The sequence below is a fragment of the Homo sapiens genome, chromosome 2 (genome assembly GCF_000001405.40).
Source record: "Homo sapiens chromosome 2, GRCh38.p14 Primary Assembly".
Lineage (NCBI taxonomy): Eukaryota > Metazoa > Chordata > Mammalia > Primates > Hominidae > Homo > Homo sapiens.
In genome coordinates, this window is record NC_000002.12 from 38,223,232 (window position 1) to 38,241,010 (window position 17,779).

The 17,779-nt window shown below is 39.0% G+C and overlaps 1 long non-coding RNA gene and 1 pseudogene across 1 annotated transcript in view; one reads left to right on the forward strand and one right to left on the reverse strand.

Annotated features, from left to right (window-relative positions):
• The window catches only part of LOC102723739 (uncharacterized), a 55,283-nt gene extending 38,924 nt beyond the window's left edge, over positions 1–16,359 (reverse strand). Inside the window, exon 1 of the long non-coding RNA XR_007086289.1 lies at positions 15,827–16,359. This is a non-coding gene — a long non-coding RNA (uncharacterized LOC102723739). The remainder of the gene's footprint in view (positions 1–15,826) is intronic.
• RPL7P12 (ribosomal protein L7 pseudogene 12) lies at positions 8,317–9,152 on the forward strand (annotated as a pseudogene).
• Positions 16,360–17,779: the final 1,420 nt, after the last annotated feature.

Here is a 17,779-nt window from a genome sequence, read left to right on the forward strand (position 1 = left end):
AAACACCCAAGAAACCTAAATCTGAAATTGTTATTTGACCTCATGATCGTAAACACAAGCACTAACACTGAAATCATGAGGTCATATCTAAGGATCTTCTACAGCAAAGGTAGGAAATTTTTCTGTAAAGTGCCAGATGGTAATTATTTTAGGCTTCATGGGCTATACATTTTCTGTCACAACTACTCAACTCTGCACCATAAGACATTATGTAAACACGTAGGCATGGTTGTGTTCCAGTAAAACTTGTTTTACAAATAAACAGGTGGTGAGCCAAAGTTAGTCCAAGGGCCATAGCTGGCTGAGCTCTGTCTAGAACACCCTTAAATTGCCTTAAATTTTATACAGTAGTCTACCCTTATCCACAAGGAGTATGTTCCAAGACCCCCAGTGGATGCCTGAAACCTCGGATAGTACGGAGTCCTATATATACTATACATACTGTTTTTTCTGTATGTACATACCTATGTTAAAGTTTGAGGCATGACAACAAAACCAGCACAGATTTCTTCTTCCCTCTCCACAATTTCACAGATAGAAGGTTGGTTCTCACTACAGATCCTAGCAACCTCAGCATATAATTGTTTTTCTTTCCTTATTAACTCAAGGACTTTTACCTTTTCACTTAAAGGAAACACTCTACCACTTTACAACATCTCTTTGGCATATCTGAATTGCCAGCATCAGTACTCTTGTACTTTGGGGCCATTATTAAGTGAAATAAGGGTTACTTGGACTCAAGCATTGTGATACCATGACAGTCGAGATGTGGCTACTGGTTAAGTGGTGAATACATTGTGAATATGCTGGACAAAGGGACAATTCACATCCTGGGCAGGACAGAGCAGGATGGCTCAAGATTTTATCACACTACTCAGAACTGCATGCAATTTCAAACTTATTGTTTATTTCTGGGATTTTCCACTTAATATTTTCAGACCATGGGTAACTAAAGCCACAAAAAGAAAAAGCACAGTTAATGGGGGACTACTGTATTATAATTAAAATACAAACATAAAATTGTAAAATTATCTTACAGAACTCTTGAACTTTTGAGAAGGTGGATCTAGGGACTTGTTCGAGAAGTGCTTGCCTGAGGAAGCCAGAATATGGATACACACCAGGAGAGGAGAACTTTGACACACTTTGTGAGGCAAAGTACATACTGTGAAAATGACCTCAGATGGCCCCTGAGGATAAAGGTTTGAATTTGCTATGCCTGTGGCCCCCGTTGGGTCTAGTGTAATGTCTTAGCAACAGAGGGTGCTCAATAAATGACAGTCAAATGGATCAAGTAAAAATCAACAGAGGACTTCCAGTTTAAGCTCTTACATGTAAAGAGCTTGGAAGTCATCACTCCTGTCTTCACAATGAGAAAAAAGCTGAACAAATGAAAAATCAACAACTTTTTTTGGAACCATCAGAGAAGTGAAATTGCAGGGCAAATCGCCCATCCCAAAATCTGGAGAGACTGGTGAATACGGAAAATCATAGCCGAGATCAGCTTACCTGAAGCAGAAGCCACTAGAGCCAGTAACTGGGAACATTTTGATGGTAATTTTGAAGAATTGATGGAGGCAGAGTGTGGACTACTTAAGGTTTAAAAACCCTGGGGGCCTAGCCTTGGGGTGGCAGTAGGGGTATGCAGGCTTTCCTGGTTTTTACCTCAAGGATCTCCAGCAGGTCCTCACAGTGCAGAATGAAGGAAAAATCTCTAGTAGTGGAGGGTAAACAATAGGGGAATACAACAGGGGAAAAGTAACAGAGGGGAACCATGCCCAGGGCATCTTCATAACAAAAGCCTGTGCTCTAAGAGAAAGCACTTTACCAGAGCCCTATCTGGTCTAGGGGAAGAGAAATTAGCCAGTTCTAATCCCTCTGGGCTTCTTGTCTCATAGAAGGAAAGGGAAAGGGCTAGGAATGCTTCTGAAGGTCACAGTCCGGAGATTCAGGCCCACTTTCTTAAAAGGGGGGATTTAATCTTAAGATTATGCAATGCTTCCCTATTCCCACTCTCCTCATGTCAGCAGGGCTCTAGTATAACAACAGTGCAGTGCAGCAGAGAGAGCTGCACAGCTCAGATTCCATTTAAAAAGGAGTTCTTGGGGAGATGTAAAGACAACAGGAAAGAAGATAAAGGAAAGTGAAGCCTCTGGCACCCACAGCTACAAAAGGCATTAAACACAGCCCAGCTCCTAGCCTGTTACTAGAAAACTTCACTCCAAAAGTCAATTTTCTCAGTTTCTTTACCTAGCACATCATGTCTAGCTTTCAACAAAGAACTAAAAGATATACTAAAAGGAAATTTTTAAAAAACACAGGCTAAAGAGACAAAACAAGCATAAGAATAAGGCTTGGTTATAACATAGATTTTGAGATTATCAAATAGGGAATTTAAAATAGCTATGATTAATAAGTTAAAGAATCCAAAGGAAAGTGAGCCAACATACAAGAACAGATGAATAATGCAAACAAGGGATGGGACATCTAAAAAGAATCAAAAGGAAATCTGAGAAATCAAAAATATTGTCATAGAAATGCAGAATGCATTTGATGGGCTCATCATTAGACTGAACACAGTTGAGGGAAAAAATCAATGAGACTGAAGAAATGTCTATAGAAACTTCCCAAAACAAAAATACAAAGAGAAAGAAGGATGAAAAAATATGAAACAGAATACCCAAAAACTGTAGGACAATTACAAAGGGTATAACATATGTGAAATGAAACTGGTGAAAGAAGAAAAAGAAAAGGGAACAGAAGGTATATTTGACATAGTAATAGCTGAGAAATTCCCAAAATTAATGACAAACACCAAACCACAGATCCAGGAAGCTCAGAGAACACTAAACACGTTAAATAGCTAAAAATAAATACTTAGGCATATTGCACTGCAGAAAACCAAAGATATGGAGAAAATTTTGAAGGAAAAAAAGTTAACCTGTAGAAGAAGAAAGATAAAAATCATATCATGCTTATCTTCAGAAACCATCCAAGAAAGAAGACAGTGGGGTGAAATATTTCAAGTATTGAAAAAAAAAAAACAAAACACCAACCTACAGTCCTGTATCCAGTGAAATATCCTTCAAAAGTGAAGGATAAATAAGACTTTCTCAGACAAACAAAAAACTGAGGGAATTTGTTGTGAGTAGACTTACCTGTTCAAGACTTGCCTTGCCTTGCCTTCCAAGTGAAGGAAAATTATATAGGTCGGAAACTCAGATCAACATTTTAAAAAGGAAGAGCACCAGAGAAGGAACAAATGAAGAAGAAAGTAACATTCTTCATTTTTCTTATTCTTAACTGATCTAATAGATGACAATTTGTTCAGAGTACTAATAGTAACAATGTACTGGGTGATTATAATGTATGTATAAGTAAAGTAAACAGCAGCAATGTTATAAGGGAAGGAAGGAAAGAACTTTGAATATTCTGTTATAACAAAACTGCACTACCTAGGAAGCAGTATACTATTATTGGAAAGTAGACTTGATCAGTTGTAAATGTATATAGCAAACTCTAGGGTAACTACTAGAAAACAATTTTTAAGATGTGTGATTGATATGCTAAAAAAAATAGAAAAATTTATAGCATTATATCCATATATTGGGAAAGAAGAAAGATCTAAAACCAATCATCTAAGATCCCACATTAGGAAACTTAAAAAAGGAGAGCAATATAAACCTAAAACAAGCATAAAGAGTAAAATAATAAAAATTAGAATAGAAATCATGAAATTGAAAACAAATTAATAGAGAAAACAACAAAACCAAAATCTGGTTCTTTGAAAATGTCTGTAGAACTGATAAACTTCTAGCTTAGCTAACCAAGAGCAAAAAAGAGAAGGCACAGATTACTAACATCAGAAATGAAAGAGGGATCAATACTACTAATCCCATGGACATTTAAATGATACTTTTAAATATGTATGAACAATTCTATGCTCACAAATTTGGTAACTTGGTAGAAATGGACCAATTCTTTGAAAGACACAAACTATTAATACCAAAACTCACACATGAAGAATAGAATATCTGAATAGGGCTATATTTATTAAAGAAATTTAATCAACAATTAATAACTTTCCAAAAAAAAGAATGCACCATGCCCAAATGTCACCAATAAATTTTACCATTTTTAAAGAAATAACAATTCCCTACAAGTTCTTTAAAAAATAAAAGCAGAAGGAACCTTCTTAACTTATTCTATGAGGCCAGCATTACCCTAACACCAAAACCAGATAAACGCATTGTAATAAAGAAAAACAGACCAATCAATATCTCTCATGAACATAGATACAAACCTTCCAACAAAATACTAGAAAATCAAATAAAACAATATGTAAAAAGAATGATACAATATGCCTGAATGAAATTTAATCCAAGTATGCAAGCTTGGCTTAACATTTTAAAACCAATTAATGTAATTATAACATTAACAACCTAAAGAAGAAAAATCTTATGATCATATCAACAGATGCAGAAAAAGCATCTGAAAAAATTCAATACCCATTCATGATAAAACTGTCAGCAAACTAGAAATAGAGGGAAAGGTTCTCAACTTGATAAAGAACAGCTACAAAAAAACCCCACAGCTAACATTTTATGTAATAATGGAAAACTAGATGCTTTCCCCCTAAGATCACAAATAAAGCAAGGATGTCTCCTCTCACTGCTCATATTCAAAATCACACTGGAAGTCATAATTTGTGAAATAATAAATAAGGAGATAAACACTATACAAATTATCAAAGAAGAAATAAAGCTGTCTTTTGTTTGCAGATGACATGATTGTCTACATAGAAAATCCCAAAGACTCAACAAGATCAACAACAACAACAACAACAAACCCTCCTGGAACTAATAAGTGATTATAACAAAGTTTCAGGAAACAAGGTTAATATATAAAAGACAAATCTTTCCTATATACCGTCAATGAACAATTGGAATAAGAAATTAAAAGCACAATACCATTTCCATTAGCGCACACACACACAAGGAAATACCTAGGTATAAATCTAACAATATATATACAGGATCTGTGAGGAAAACTATAATATTCTGATGAAATAAATTTTAAAAGATAGAAATAAATTTTAAAAGATCAAAATAAATGATATTTAATCATCTATAAATATCCAAATTTACACGTATAAAAATTTACAAAATATTTATCTGTAAATTTGGTATTTAAATATTAGAGATATTCTATGTTCATAAACAGGAGGAGTTAATATTGTTAAAACATTGATTATTTTCAACTTAATTTATGGATTCAATGTACTCCAAATCAAAATCCCAGCAACATATTGTGTTGCTATCAACAAACTGCTCCTAAAGTTTATATGGAAAAGCAGAAGTTTATATGGAAAGGCAAAAGACCCATTTATTATTTTATGAATTAGCCACAGAATACAGAAGAAGAATAAGGTAAGAGGACTGACACTACCCAACTTCAAGCTCCAGTAATCAAAATGTCTTGATATTGGAGAAAGTATAGGCAAATAGATTAGAACAGAATAGAGTCCAGAAATAGACCCACACAAATATAGTTAACTAATCCTTGACAAAGGAACAAAGGCAATTCAGTCAATAAAGAATAGTCTTTTCAACAAATGATGTTGGAAAAATTGAACATCCATAAGTAAAAGAAAGAAGAAAGAAGGAAGAAGGAAGGAAGGAAGGAGATGGAGAGAGGAGAAGGAGGGAGAAGAAGGAGGGAGGGAGGGAGAAGGAAGGTAGGAAGGAAGGAAGGAAGGAAGGAAGGAAGGAAGGAAGGAAGAAAGGAAGGAAGGAGCAAAGACCTGAATCAATACCCAACTTAAAAAAAAAAAACCATACAGAAGCACATGAAAAGATGCTCAGTATCATGTGTCATTAGGGAAGTTGCAAATTAAAACAACAGTGAGACACTACACACCTATTAGAAAGGCTAAAATACAAAAAATACTGACAGTACCAAATGCCGGTTAAAACACAGAAAAACAGAAATTCTTGTTTCTTGCTAGTGGGAATGCAAAATTGTACAACCGCTTTGGAAGACCATTTGGCAGTTTTTTCCAAAGCTAAACACAACCTTATCATACGTTCCAGCAATCATGCTCCTAGGTTTTTGCCCAGTTGGTTTTAAAATTTATGTCCCCACAAAAACTTACAAATGTTTATAGCAGTTTTTGCAATAAGTAAAATCACAATCACCAAAAACTGGATGGCCTTCAATAGGTGAACGAATTAAAAGGTAGTAGTGGTTGGGCGTGGTGGCTCACGCATCCCAGCACTTTGGGAGGCCGAGGCAGGAGGATCACTTGAGGTTGGGAGTTCAAGACTAGCCTGGCCAACATGCAGAAACCCCGTCTTTACTAAAAATACAAAAATAAACCGGGTGTGGTGGTGCATACCTGTAATCCCAGCTACTCGGGAGGCTGAGGCAGGAGAATCGCTTGAACCCAGGAGGCGGCAGTTGCGGTGACCCAAGGTGGCGCCATTGCACCCCAGCCTGGGCAACAAGAGCGAAACTCCATCTCAAAATAATAATAATAATAATAAAAAGTAGTGGTATAGCCATACATGGAATGATTTTTTCATAAAAAGAAATGAGCTATGAAGCTATAAAAAGGTATGAAGAAACCTTAAATGCATATTGCTAAGTGAAAGAAGCCAGTCTTAAAAGGTTACATACTGTATCATTCCATCTAGATGGCATTCTGGAATGGCAAAACTATGGAGATAGTAAAAAAAAAAAAAAAAAAAAAAAAAGTCAGTGGTTGCCAGAGGTTGGGAGACGGAAGGGGAAGAGAGATGAATCGGTGAAGCACGGGGGATTTTTAGGGCAATAAATCTCTTCTCTATGATACTGTAATGATGGATATATGACATTATACATTTGTCTAAACCAATAGAACTATACAACACAAAGATGGACTTCAATGTAAACTATGAACTTTAGTTACTAATACTGTATCAGTATTTTTTCATTAACTGCAGCAAATGTTCCACACTAATACACGGTGTTAATAACAGGGATATAGTAGAACACGTGGGGAGAGGAGGTTCTGTACTATGAGCTCAATTTTTTGGTAAATCTAAAACTGTTCTAAAAAATAAAATCTAATAATCCCTTAAAAATCAACACGGTAAATTGCCACATGTAAGATTCACAGAATAAAAGAATGATTTTACAAAAAGAATGATAAAGATCAAATAGTTTCAGAGCTAGCAGAGGCCTTAGAACTGGTCATCCTCTCACCAAATCTTCACTGGGCAGTTACAGAGTGTCACTGTCTGCATGAGGCACTGCAAGTATAGTGAAAACTAAGACAGCCCCTGTCACAATATAGTATTAAGGGAAAAAGTTCAAATGATTTCATTTTTGATGTGTGTATGTGAGAGAGAGAGAGAGAGAAAGAGAGAGAGAATAGAGGTAGGGAGAGAACATTGAGAGGAAGCTCACCAAGACATGAACAGTAGTTATTTCTGGATGGGCTTTTATTTCCTCTTACTAGTTTCTATCACTTTATAGTGTTTCTATGATAAGCATGCTTTGCTACTGTCATAAGAAAATTAAATAATAAAATGTTCCTTTATTCTAATGATGGCACTTCAGAAAATGCTACCAATGAAGTAAATTTGAAGTCAGGATTATGAAAGTAAATGAATTGGAACAGGTGGGTGAGTAGCCGGGACGACCCATTTCTCACAGGGAAGGTGCACAGCAGGGAGCCCCATGCACTGCATGAAGTGTGTTTGGCAGCCACAGAGGACAGGCTTAGCAGCTCCGTGGTGGATTTCACTCAGTGGCAGCAACACTTGACCACCAACAACTATGGCAAGGCAGCTTTGCCATCCTGATAGTTTTTGACACTAATTTCTACTGAGTTTCCTCAAAGAATGTTTCACAGAAAACTAGTTCTCAAAATATTCGTAGGTAGAATTCTATTAAATTAAACAAAACTAGCACAATTATTTATAGAAGAACATACCAAAGCATTTATTATTCTATGATACAATGAAAACAGAGAGTACAGTGTTTCCCTAATTGGAGAAAAAGTAATTCTCCCTGCTTTTCCTTTCTTTCCTTCTTCCTTTATTCTTTCTTCCTTTTTCTCTTTCTCTCTCCAGTGGGGACAAGAGAATTTCATGGAATGGGTGTCATTTGGTACATACTTGGAGAGCTGTTACTCTGCCAGATGTCACACCAATTGTTTATGGGCTATGATTTATTGTGTTTGTCAATATAGCTCTCAGTATTCCTACCACCAAGCACAGCAGCTAGCACATAGAAGGCTCTCAATAAATACTTGTTAAATAAGTGAATGAACTCTTTTTCCAGCTGGAACCATGGAGGATGTAGAAGAGAAGAAGAAGAAGGTTCCTGTTATGCCAGAAACCCTTAAGAAAAAGGGAAGGAATTTCTCAGAGCTGAAGATCAAGTGCCTTTGAAAGAAGTTTGCCTAAAAGATGCTTTGAAAGGCAAGGAGGAAGCTTATCTATGAAGAAGCAAAGCACTATCACAGGGAATAAAGGCAGATGTACAGAACTGAAATATGAATGGCGAGGATGGCAAGAAAAGCTGGCAACTTCTATGTACCTGAAGAACCCAAATTGGCATTTGTCATCAGGATCAGAGGTATCAATGGTGTGAGGCCAAAGGTCCGAAAGGTGTTGCAGCTTCTTCGCCTTCGTCAAATCTTCAATGGAACCTTTGTGAAACTCAACAAAGTTTCAATTAACATGCTGAGGGTTGTAGAGCCATATATTGCATGGGAGTACCCAAATCTGAAGTCAGTAAATGAACTAATCTACAAGCGTGCTTATGGCAAAATCAGTAAGAAGCGAATTGCTTTCTTTGACAGATAACACTTCGATTGCTCAATCTCTTGGTAAATATGGCATCGTCTGCATGGAGGATCTGATTCATGAGATCTATACTGTTGGAAAATGCTTCAAAGAAGCAAATAACTTCCTGTGGCCCTTCAAATTATCTTCTGCATGAGGTGGAAAGAAGAAAAGGCCACCCACTTTGTAGAAGGTGGAGATCCTGGCAACAGGGAGGACCAGATCAACAGACTTATTAAAAGAATGAACTAAGGTGTCTACCATGATTATTTTTCTAAGCTGTTTGGTTAATAAACAGTACCTGCTCTCAAATTGAAAAAATAAATAAATAAAAATAAATAAACAAATAAGTGAATGATTGAATTTCATTAAGAAAAAATGAATTACTACAAAACTCTGTACTTTCTTATCTCACCTAGATTTGACTTGCACTTTCCTACAGAGAAAAGAAGTCACCCAGGTTCACAATGAGCAGCCCAACTTGGACAATTTACCAAAGCACAGAAGAATTCAAAATCTAGATCTTCTCACCAGGACTCTCTCCAGTGGCTGTCCTACTTGCAAATGTAATCATCCTCCCAGAGGAGAGTCAGGCACAAACCAGGGAGTGAGTTTGTTGTTCATCTTGCAACACCTCTTTCAATGAATCTAACTTGCTTCACAAGAGTCCATTGGGAATGGCCCCCCAAAAAAACAGTCGCTTGGATTATTTAAGTGAACACATGACAGTCAATGCAATAAGGCCTTGCCCTCCCCACTTCCCCATCAATATTTATCAAGGACATGGTTTTTCCAAGGGAGAAAGGAGCATAGTCTTGTAACAGCTGTTCCAGAGAACAGACCGTACATGGATTAAAACTAACTCAAGTCAAGAAGAAATTATGTACAGTCTTATAAAAGAGAGATGCGTCTTGAGCTGAGAAAGTGCATGTTCCCTTAAATATTTTCCTGCCCCCACATGCTTAGCCCCTTCAGTACTTGGTGTCCCTACCTTCTGCCAGCTTCTGACCCTGAGGAATGATCAAACCTCGTTTTTCTAGGAACTGAAGGAGCTCTTTAGCCCCTCAAAATACATCAAAGGAAGACTCAATGCAGCCAAAATTCAAGCCTAAATTTTGAAATACAAATATTTGAACTGATCATGATGTCCACGTCCTACACAAATAAAACTTTCTTTTAGAAAAGAAACCCCTGCTGGTTGTGCTGTAATTATTTTAGGCAGAATGCTTTTAAGTCTAAAGCCATTTTAAACTCTCAAAACTTTATACATCCAAGGAAAGCAAACTGAAAGTGAGCATCACTAAGTTTACTCTTATTTCTAAGATTAATCTCAACCTCCCTGGATTTCAACACTCACGCCGTTGTCCAGACTACTAGATGCAGCTGCAACTAGGGATTTCTTAAGTCACATAGGGAACCTGGACTAAATTAATCTGGAAGGATATGTGCCATTCCTAAGTTTGCGATTTCCTTCACTATGTTTAAAAAAGGGTTATTAGGTACTAATGCTGCACAGATTTTCTAAATACTCTATTTGCCAGTGGCAGAGCCAGATGTGGACCACATTAGGAGAGACATGCGTGACAGCGTTTTGCTAAATGTCCGTGATGAATTTTAACTTGCAAAGGGGAAAATTATAGCTGTGTGGTGCCAGGATAATTTCCTCCAAATACCACTCCCATCAGGTCATTTTCTCCTGTGACTCACCAGCTCCTTTTGAGGAAAGCGTAAAGTCTGGCATTAGAGGCCTCAGTCATCTTCTCTTCCTCCAGACTATCCCAAAGGATCCCTGTATGCCAGGACCACCTCTTGACTCTCCTTCTGCGTATTTTGCTTGGGTGGCTCCCTCTGTCTGGAATACATAGCTCTTACACCCTTCAAAACCTGGCTCGAATCTCATCATTTTCAAGGAGGCTTCCCTCCCCAGCCTCCCTCCACTGATTATTCTCCTGTATTTGGCATTCACTGCAGGTATCCATAGTTGTCTCTATGACTGTTGGTGGTGGCCACTGGAAAGCTCAGCATCGAATGTGAGGCCCCATAAAGCAAGTGTAGGGAGCAGCCTCCCTGGGGGCATTTGCACACTTTCCCCTTCCCCCTTCACCGTATGTCCCATCCTTGATTTTGCTTTGCTTTTTCATCCGCTTTGTTGTCTTGATTTATTTTTAAGTGATATCTTAAGTCCTTTCTGAATAAGAATAGAGTGAACATGCGAGTCTTTGGACTACGTTGGCATGTGTTTTTTTCCCAGCACATGTTCTCTGTGAATGTCTGAGCTTCCACTACTTCATATGCTCCTCTAAGAAAAAAATAATCATCTCAGAAGCAAGATGTCTTCCTCTGTTCTAATTTCTGGAACTAACATTTTTTGTTTTTCCTTTGATTAAAAGAGTATGTGTGCAAGACCCCTTATGTAATGTCACCTACAACCCAGAATTATCATCCCATGTTACACATGAAGAAGCACATAATCAAAAGACTAAACAGACAACCCATAGACTGGGAGAAAATAGTCGCAAACTATGCATCCAGTGAAGGACAAATATCCGGAATCTATAAGGAACTCAAACAAATCAGCAAGAAAAAAACAAATAATCCCATCAAAAAGTGGGCAAAGAACATGAATAGGCAATTCTCAAAAAATATACATGAACAGCCAACAAACATATGAAAAAAAAATGTTCAACATCACCTTACTCCTGCAAGAATGTCCATAATTAAGAAGTCGAAAAACAACAGATGTTGGCATGAATGTGGTGTAAAGGGAACACTTTTACACTGCTAGTGGCAATGTAAATTACCACAACCACTACGGAAAACAGTATGGAGATTCCTTAAAGAACTAAAAGTAGAAGTACCATTCGATCTAGCAATCCCACTACTGGGTATCTACCCAAAGGAAAAGAAGTCATTATATGAAAAAGACACATGCACATATGTGTTTATGGCAGCACAATTCACAATTGCAAAGATATGGAACCAACCTAAGTGCCCATCAATCAACAAGTGGTTAAAGAAAATGTGGTATATATACAACATGGAATACTACTCAGCCATAAAAAGGAACAAAATAATGCCTTTTGCAGCAACTTGGAAGGAGCTGGAGGTCATTATTCTAAGTGAAGTAACTCAGGAATGGAAAACCAAATATAATATATTCTCATAAGTGGGAGTTACACTATGAGGATGCAAAGGCATAAGAACAATATAATGGACTTTGGGGATTCTGGGGGAAGGGTGGTAGGGGCGTGAGGGATAAAAGACTACATATTGAGTACAGCGTACACTCCTTGGGTGACAGGTGCATCAAAATCTCAGAAATCACCACTAAAGAACTTATCCATGTAACCAAAAACTGTACCCCAACTATTGAAATAAAAATAAAAATTATTTAAAAAATACTAAATGGTTGACCCAAAGTCACCCAGCTTATACGGCAGAGTCAAGACTTGAACCCAGGCCAACCTAACTCAAAATGCCTTGACTCTGTATTCTCTAAAAGCGTCTAGCACCAAAACACACACCATGAAGTGTCTAGCACCATAACAGGCACTCATTCATTATTGAAGTATGACCCAAAACATTTGGTACAGAATTGAATAAAACCATGAAGGCAAAGCTATTGAAAATTGAGCTTGCAAAATTGGTAGAATTGGCTTCATGAAAAACTGAGGAGATTCTAATTAGGTCTATCAGAGAAAGACAACACAGATCTACAAAACATTCTGGATGTAGGTGAACAGAATACTAGAAGAGATGCTGTGAGCTGATGTCCATGTTTGAATACAAAAGAAAAATAGATGGGCACGCTGGTTTAGATTTATAGGTCCAGGGCAAACTGATCCAACTGTGGAATCACTGAACCCCCCTTGGGTTTCAATGAGGGTACCCTTGGTAGTTACTTTCGGCCCTAAGGGGTTTGACAAAATGGGACAGACAGGGTTTTTACATCTGAAGCCAGAATACAGAATCTTTGTTCATTGAGGATCTTCATACATGTTACCTTATCTAATACTTTCCCTAACTTCCCCCAGTGTTTCATGTTTGTTATATTTACACATGGTCTTATAACGACGTGTCTATGTCTATCTTGCCACATTGCCCAGGCTGGTCTCGAGCTCCTGGGCTCAACCAGTTCTCCCACCAGAGCCTCCCAAAGTGCTGGGATTACAGGTGTGAGCCACTGCACCCGGCCTAGTTCTCAAATTATATGGAGGAACAAAGACCTAAGAGTAAATAAAGCACTCCTGAAAAGGAATATCAAGACTTATTCCAAAGCTAAAATAACAAAGACAGTGCTGTACTGGCACAGAAATAGACAAATTGCCCAATGGAACAGACTAGAGAAACAGAGACAGAGAGAAAGAGAGAAGGGTGGGTACTTGAGGATGGAAGAGAAGGCACTGCGGATGACAAGGAAACAATGAACTCTTCAATAAATAGTGCAAGGCCACTGGTTACCTACATGGGGGGGAAAATACTGTGACTAATCCCTGCTTTGCACCATGCAGAAGAATCAAATGCTAGCAGATTTAAGATTTAAATACACAAGGCAAAACTCTAAAACTTTTGAAGGCAACATGGGAGAATATCTTTAGAACATCAGAGAGGTGAAGGTTTCTTAAAGAAAACACAAAACTATGAAAGAAAAATAATAAATTTGGCTACATTCAAATTAAGAACTTCTGTTTAACAGTAGACCCCATGAAGAAAGTGATCAGAAAAGCAACAATGTAGGAGAAGATATTTGCAATATATATAACCAATATAATCTACATAAAGATGATGTATTTTTTAAAATCTTTTCAAAGTTCAATAAATAAGTTAATAAATACACAGTTCACAGAGCAGAAAATATGAATAGCCCATAAATATATAAAAGAATACACAACCTCATTAGTAATCGCAGAGACACTAAGATACCAGTGGGACTTTACTTTTTACCCACTGGATTGGCACAAATTAATAAGGCTGATATTGTCAAAAACTTGGGCTGGGCGCAGTGGCTCAGGCCTGTAATCTCAGCACTTTGTGAGGTCAAGGCAAGTAGATCGCTTTGAGCTCATGAATTCGACACCAGCCTGGGCAATATGACGAAACCACATTTCTACAAAAAATACAAAAAACTAGTTGGGTGTGGTGGTGCACACCTGTAGTCCCAGCTACTTGGGAGACTGAGGTGGGAGGATGGCTTGAACCTGGGATGCAGAGGTGTGGGGGTTCAGTCAGGATGGTGGGAGAAATTGTAAAATTATGGGAAATAAACGCAAACCCTCTTGGAAGGCCTGGAGGTCTGCATAAAGTGTTTGGCTGAAGGCAGAATTCTCTTAAAAGCTCAGGGCATGGATACATAGGAATGTAGAGTAGTTTATCTAAATAGCTTGTTTATTCATGTGGTCCTAAGACCAACATTTGGTCAACCACAGATGCATGATTGCTCTCTACTCAGGAGGTCAGCAATGTCAATTACCCTCTAGTGGTTTTTACTCAAGACCTTTGTCATCTAATCTATACTGAATAAATGTGAGCTTCGCTGACTGAATGGAGCCATGGCTGCTACTCTTTACAGAACCTTCCTTGGTGTCTGTGAGGGGCCCAGACCCTTAGCTGGACTGACAGGCAGAGTATCTGTGTCAGTGTACATTACTCATCCGTTGTTGGGTGAGGGTCTGCAGAACAAATGCCCGCACAGAGGTTGCAGTGAGCTGAGATCATGCCACTGTGCTCCAGCCTGGGCGATAGAGCCACACCCTGTCTCAAAAAAAACAAAAAAAAAAAGAAAAAGAACTTGGAAAGAGTATGATTCAACTGGAATCTTTATTCACTCTTGGCAGGAGTCTAAATTGGTATAACCCCTCAGAAAAAATAAGTTAAATATATTCATATACCTTATAGCCTAGCAATCCTACCCTAGAGAAACCCTCGCACACGTGCACAAATTCATGTGGTTGTACTTCTAAGTATAACCCTAGAGAAATTCTTGCATGTGATTTACGTATGGGAATGTTCACAGCAATATCAAAATAACAACCAGAAACAACCCAAGTGTCCAAAGTGTTCAGAGAAAGAATAAACAATTATTTATAACTACTCACACAATAAAATGCTAGAGACAGTAGTGAAAATAATGAACTACATGCAACATGGATGAATCTTAGAAACAAAATACTGAGTGGAAAAAAAGCAAATGAAAAGAAGACTGCATGTAGCATAATACCATTCTGATAAAGTGGACACAATCAAATAATATGTTTCTTAAGGTTATCTACATATGTGCTAAATTATTATTTTAACCAGGGCTTTATAGAAATAAAATTCGGAAAGCTGGTTACTTCTAGGGACTTGCAGGGGATGGCATAGGAAAGGAGCCCACCAGCTACAGCAATGATATTGATCATGTTCTAGTTTAAGGACGACTCACAGGTGTTCTTCCTGTTATTACTATGCCTCATCCCTTAACTGTGTGATACTCACATTATTTTGCATATATCAGCTATTACATAATAATAGCAAATAAAAATAAAAGAACAGGCAAGGCACAGTGGCTCACGCCTGTAATCCCAGCACTTTGGGAGGCCCAGGTGGGCGGATCACCTGAAGTCAGGAGTTCGAGACCAGCCTGGCCAACATGGCGAAACCCCATCTCTACTAAAAATACAAAAATTAGTGGGGTGTGGTGGTGAGTGCCTCCAGCCCCAGCTACTCAGGATGCTGAAGCAGGAGAATCGCTTGAACCCGGGAGATGGAGGTTGCACTGAGCTGAGACCACACCGTGGCACTCCAGCCTGGGTGACAGAGCAAGACTCCATCTCAAAAAATAAATAAATAAATAAATAAATAAATAAATAAATAAATAATAAATGGCTGCAGTTTTACGATAGTCTCAAAAAAGAAAAACAAAAAGAATAAAAGGAAAAAAATCAGGTGTCCACGCTTTTCTGAGAATACAGAAACAAAAGTCTTTCAGTTACTCACAATTTTTCCATACTCACCAACACAGAATGTCAGAAGTGGACCCCAGCAAGGCCCTGTAGACCCATCACTAATTAAGTAGATGAGGAAACGGAAGCTCAGGGATAATACGTGACTGCTCCATGATCACCTGGCAGAGCCAGGAGCCAAACCCAGGTCTCCTGATATTTCTTCTCTTAGATCAAGTCCCCAGGCAGTGGCCTTCAGTCTGGTAGATAATAAAAAGAAAACTCCAGTCTTCTTTATCTTTGTATCTCTAAGACCTAGCAAAGGGCTTAATAATTTGTTGGCCCTCAAAATGTTTTGTTTCTGAATATTATGGAATTCCCATTGGATTCGTCACAAGAAGTCCTCAAAGTGGTAAAAATTCTCTCTTCTGGTTCGGTGGCTTCAAACCAAGAAAAGGTTCCTGGAAGCAAGACAGAAGAAACTATCGGCCATATCACTAATGGGCATTGCCAGAACTCATATGTGTGGCCATACCGGAGGAGATCCCTGCGGCAGGCAGGGCTGCATTTTCTAGCCGGTTCCAGCAAGCCAGCCTCGCGTGACTGACTTCTTTAGTTTAAGGTGCAGAACTCAAGGGAAAGGAGCCAAACCCTATGAATGTGTCTGTACTGCCTCCAAGGCAAGGAGTGGCCAGGATCTGTGGCTTGCCTGTGGAATGAGCAGTGGAAACACTCTCTTCCATTATGTCTGCAGAATAGGCTGGCGGGTGCCACATTACGTTAGTAAGCTCCTGGCAAGGCACGTGGCTTCCATCTCACTTCATTAGCAGCTTTCCTGAACTTCAGGTTTTCCCGGTCCCTGATTCTAGGAGTTAAAGTTCCCTCTGGTACCATTATTCTTCCTCCGTGGGTTTTTCTAGACCTCCCCCATCCCCAAGGGTCTGACGCAGGGCCCTGGTTTGTAGCTCCTATCTGGGAGAATGTGCAGCCAAGGGTCACAAAACAGACCTGGGGGACTGGCCTCCCCCGAGGGATGCTGGGTCCCAAGCGTCCAAAGGTGCCCTGATTTTCCCACCTGCAATGATCAGTAGCCAAGTTCTCTGATTTTATCTCAACTCTTTCTTGAGCGCGTTGAGATGAATTTTGAGTCTCTCCATTCATGACATGTCTCCCTTTATTCAAATCTTATTTTATATCCCGCAATAAAGTTTCTTGTATTCTTCATCAAATCTCCACATTCCTCAATAACTATATTCCCAGATGTGTTTCATTTTGGGTGACTTGGGCCAATAGTCTAATGAGGCAAAATAATGGGCTGCTTCTGTCCTGAGATGCCCGCTGGCTGGGAGCACTAATGATGACTTAAGGCCGAGATGCACCAGTTGTTTATGGACCACGGATGGCTTTTCTTCTGGGATGAAGCTCTACCTTCCTGCAGGTTGTACTAAGACCAGATGCTTGTTTGTGATTCTGGTTTGTGCAGGTCACTCCCAGGGGTCTGTGCAGTGGGAGCCTCAGCATGGTTTCCCACATGACAGTCCTGCCAAGAGCAGGGGTGGCCACCCCAGCTGGTCACTGCACCTTGGCCCTCTGCCTACTACATGCAGAAGGGGCTGTGAGCAGGTAAGAGAAAAATGCTTTCTTCTCATCTGAGGCTCATGGGTACCTGGCTCTTGGGAGCACCAGTGGCAGGTGCAGCTCGCAGCCGACTGATGTCCTCTCCCTTCAATCCAACAAGTGCAGCTTCTGAACTTACACCTCCTCTGTGGAGCTTTCAGGATACAGAGGGCCTCTGGCTTTGAAATCAGTTTCACTTGGATGTGTAAAGCCCAATTTATAGACTTTACTTATCTTTGTGTTGTTTTGTTAAACCGAGTTTTTAATTCCCAGAAATTGTGGGCTTCAACTTCTGTGCCTGGTTTTTCATGTTGCTGATCTTGATGGTCCACCTTTAAGACCTGCTGTCACAGGAACTGTCATCCACACACGGGACACCTGTACGTGCTAGAAGACGTCGCACTCCGG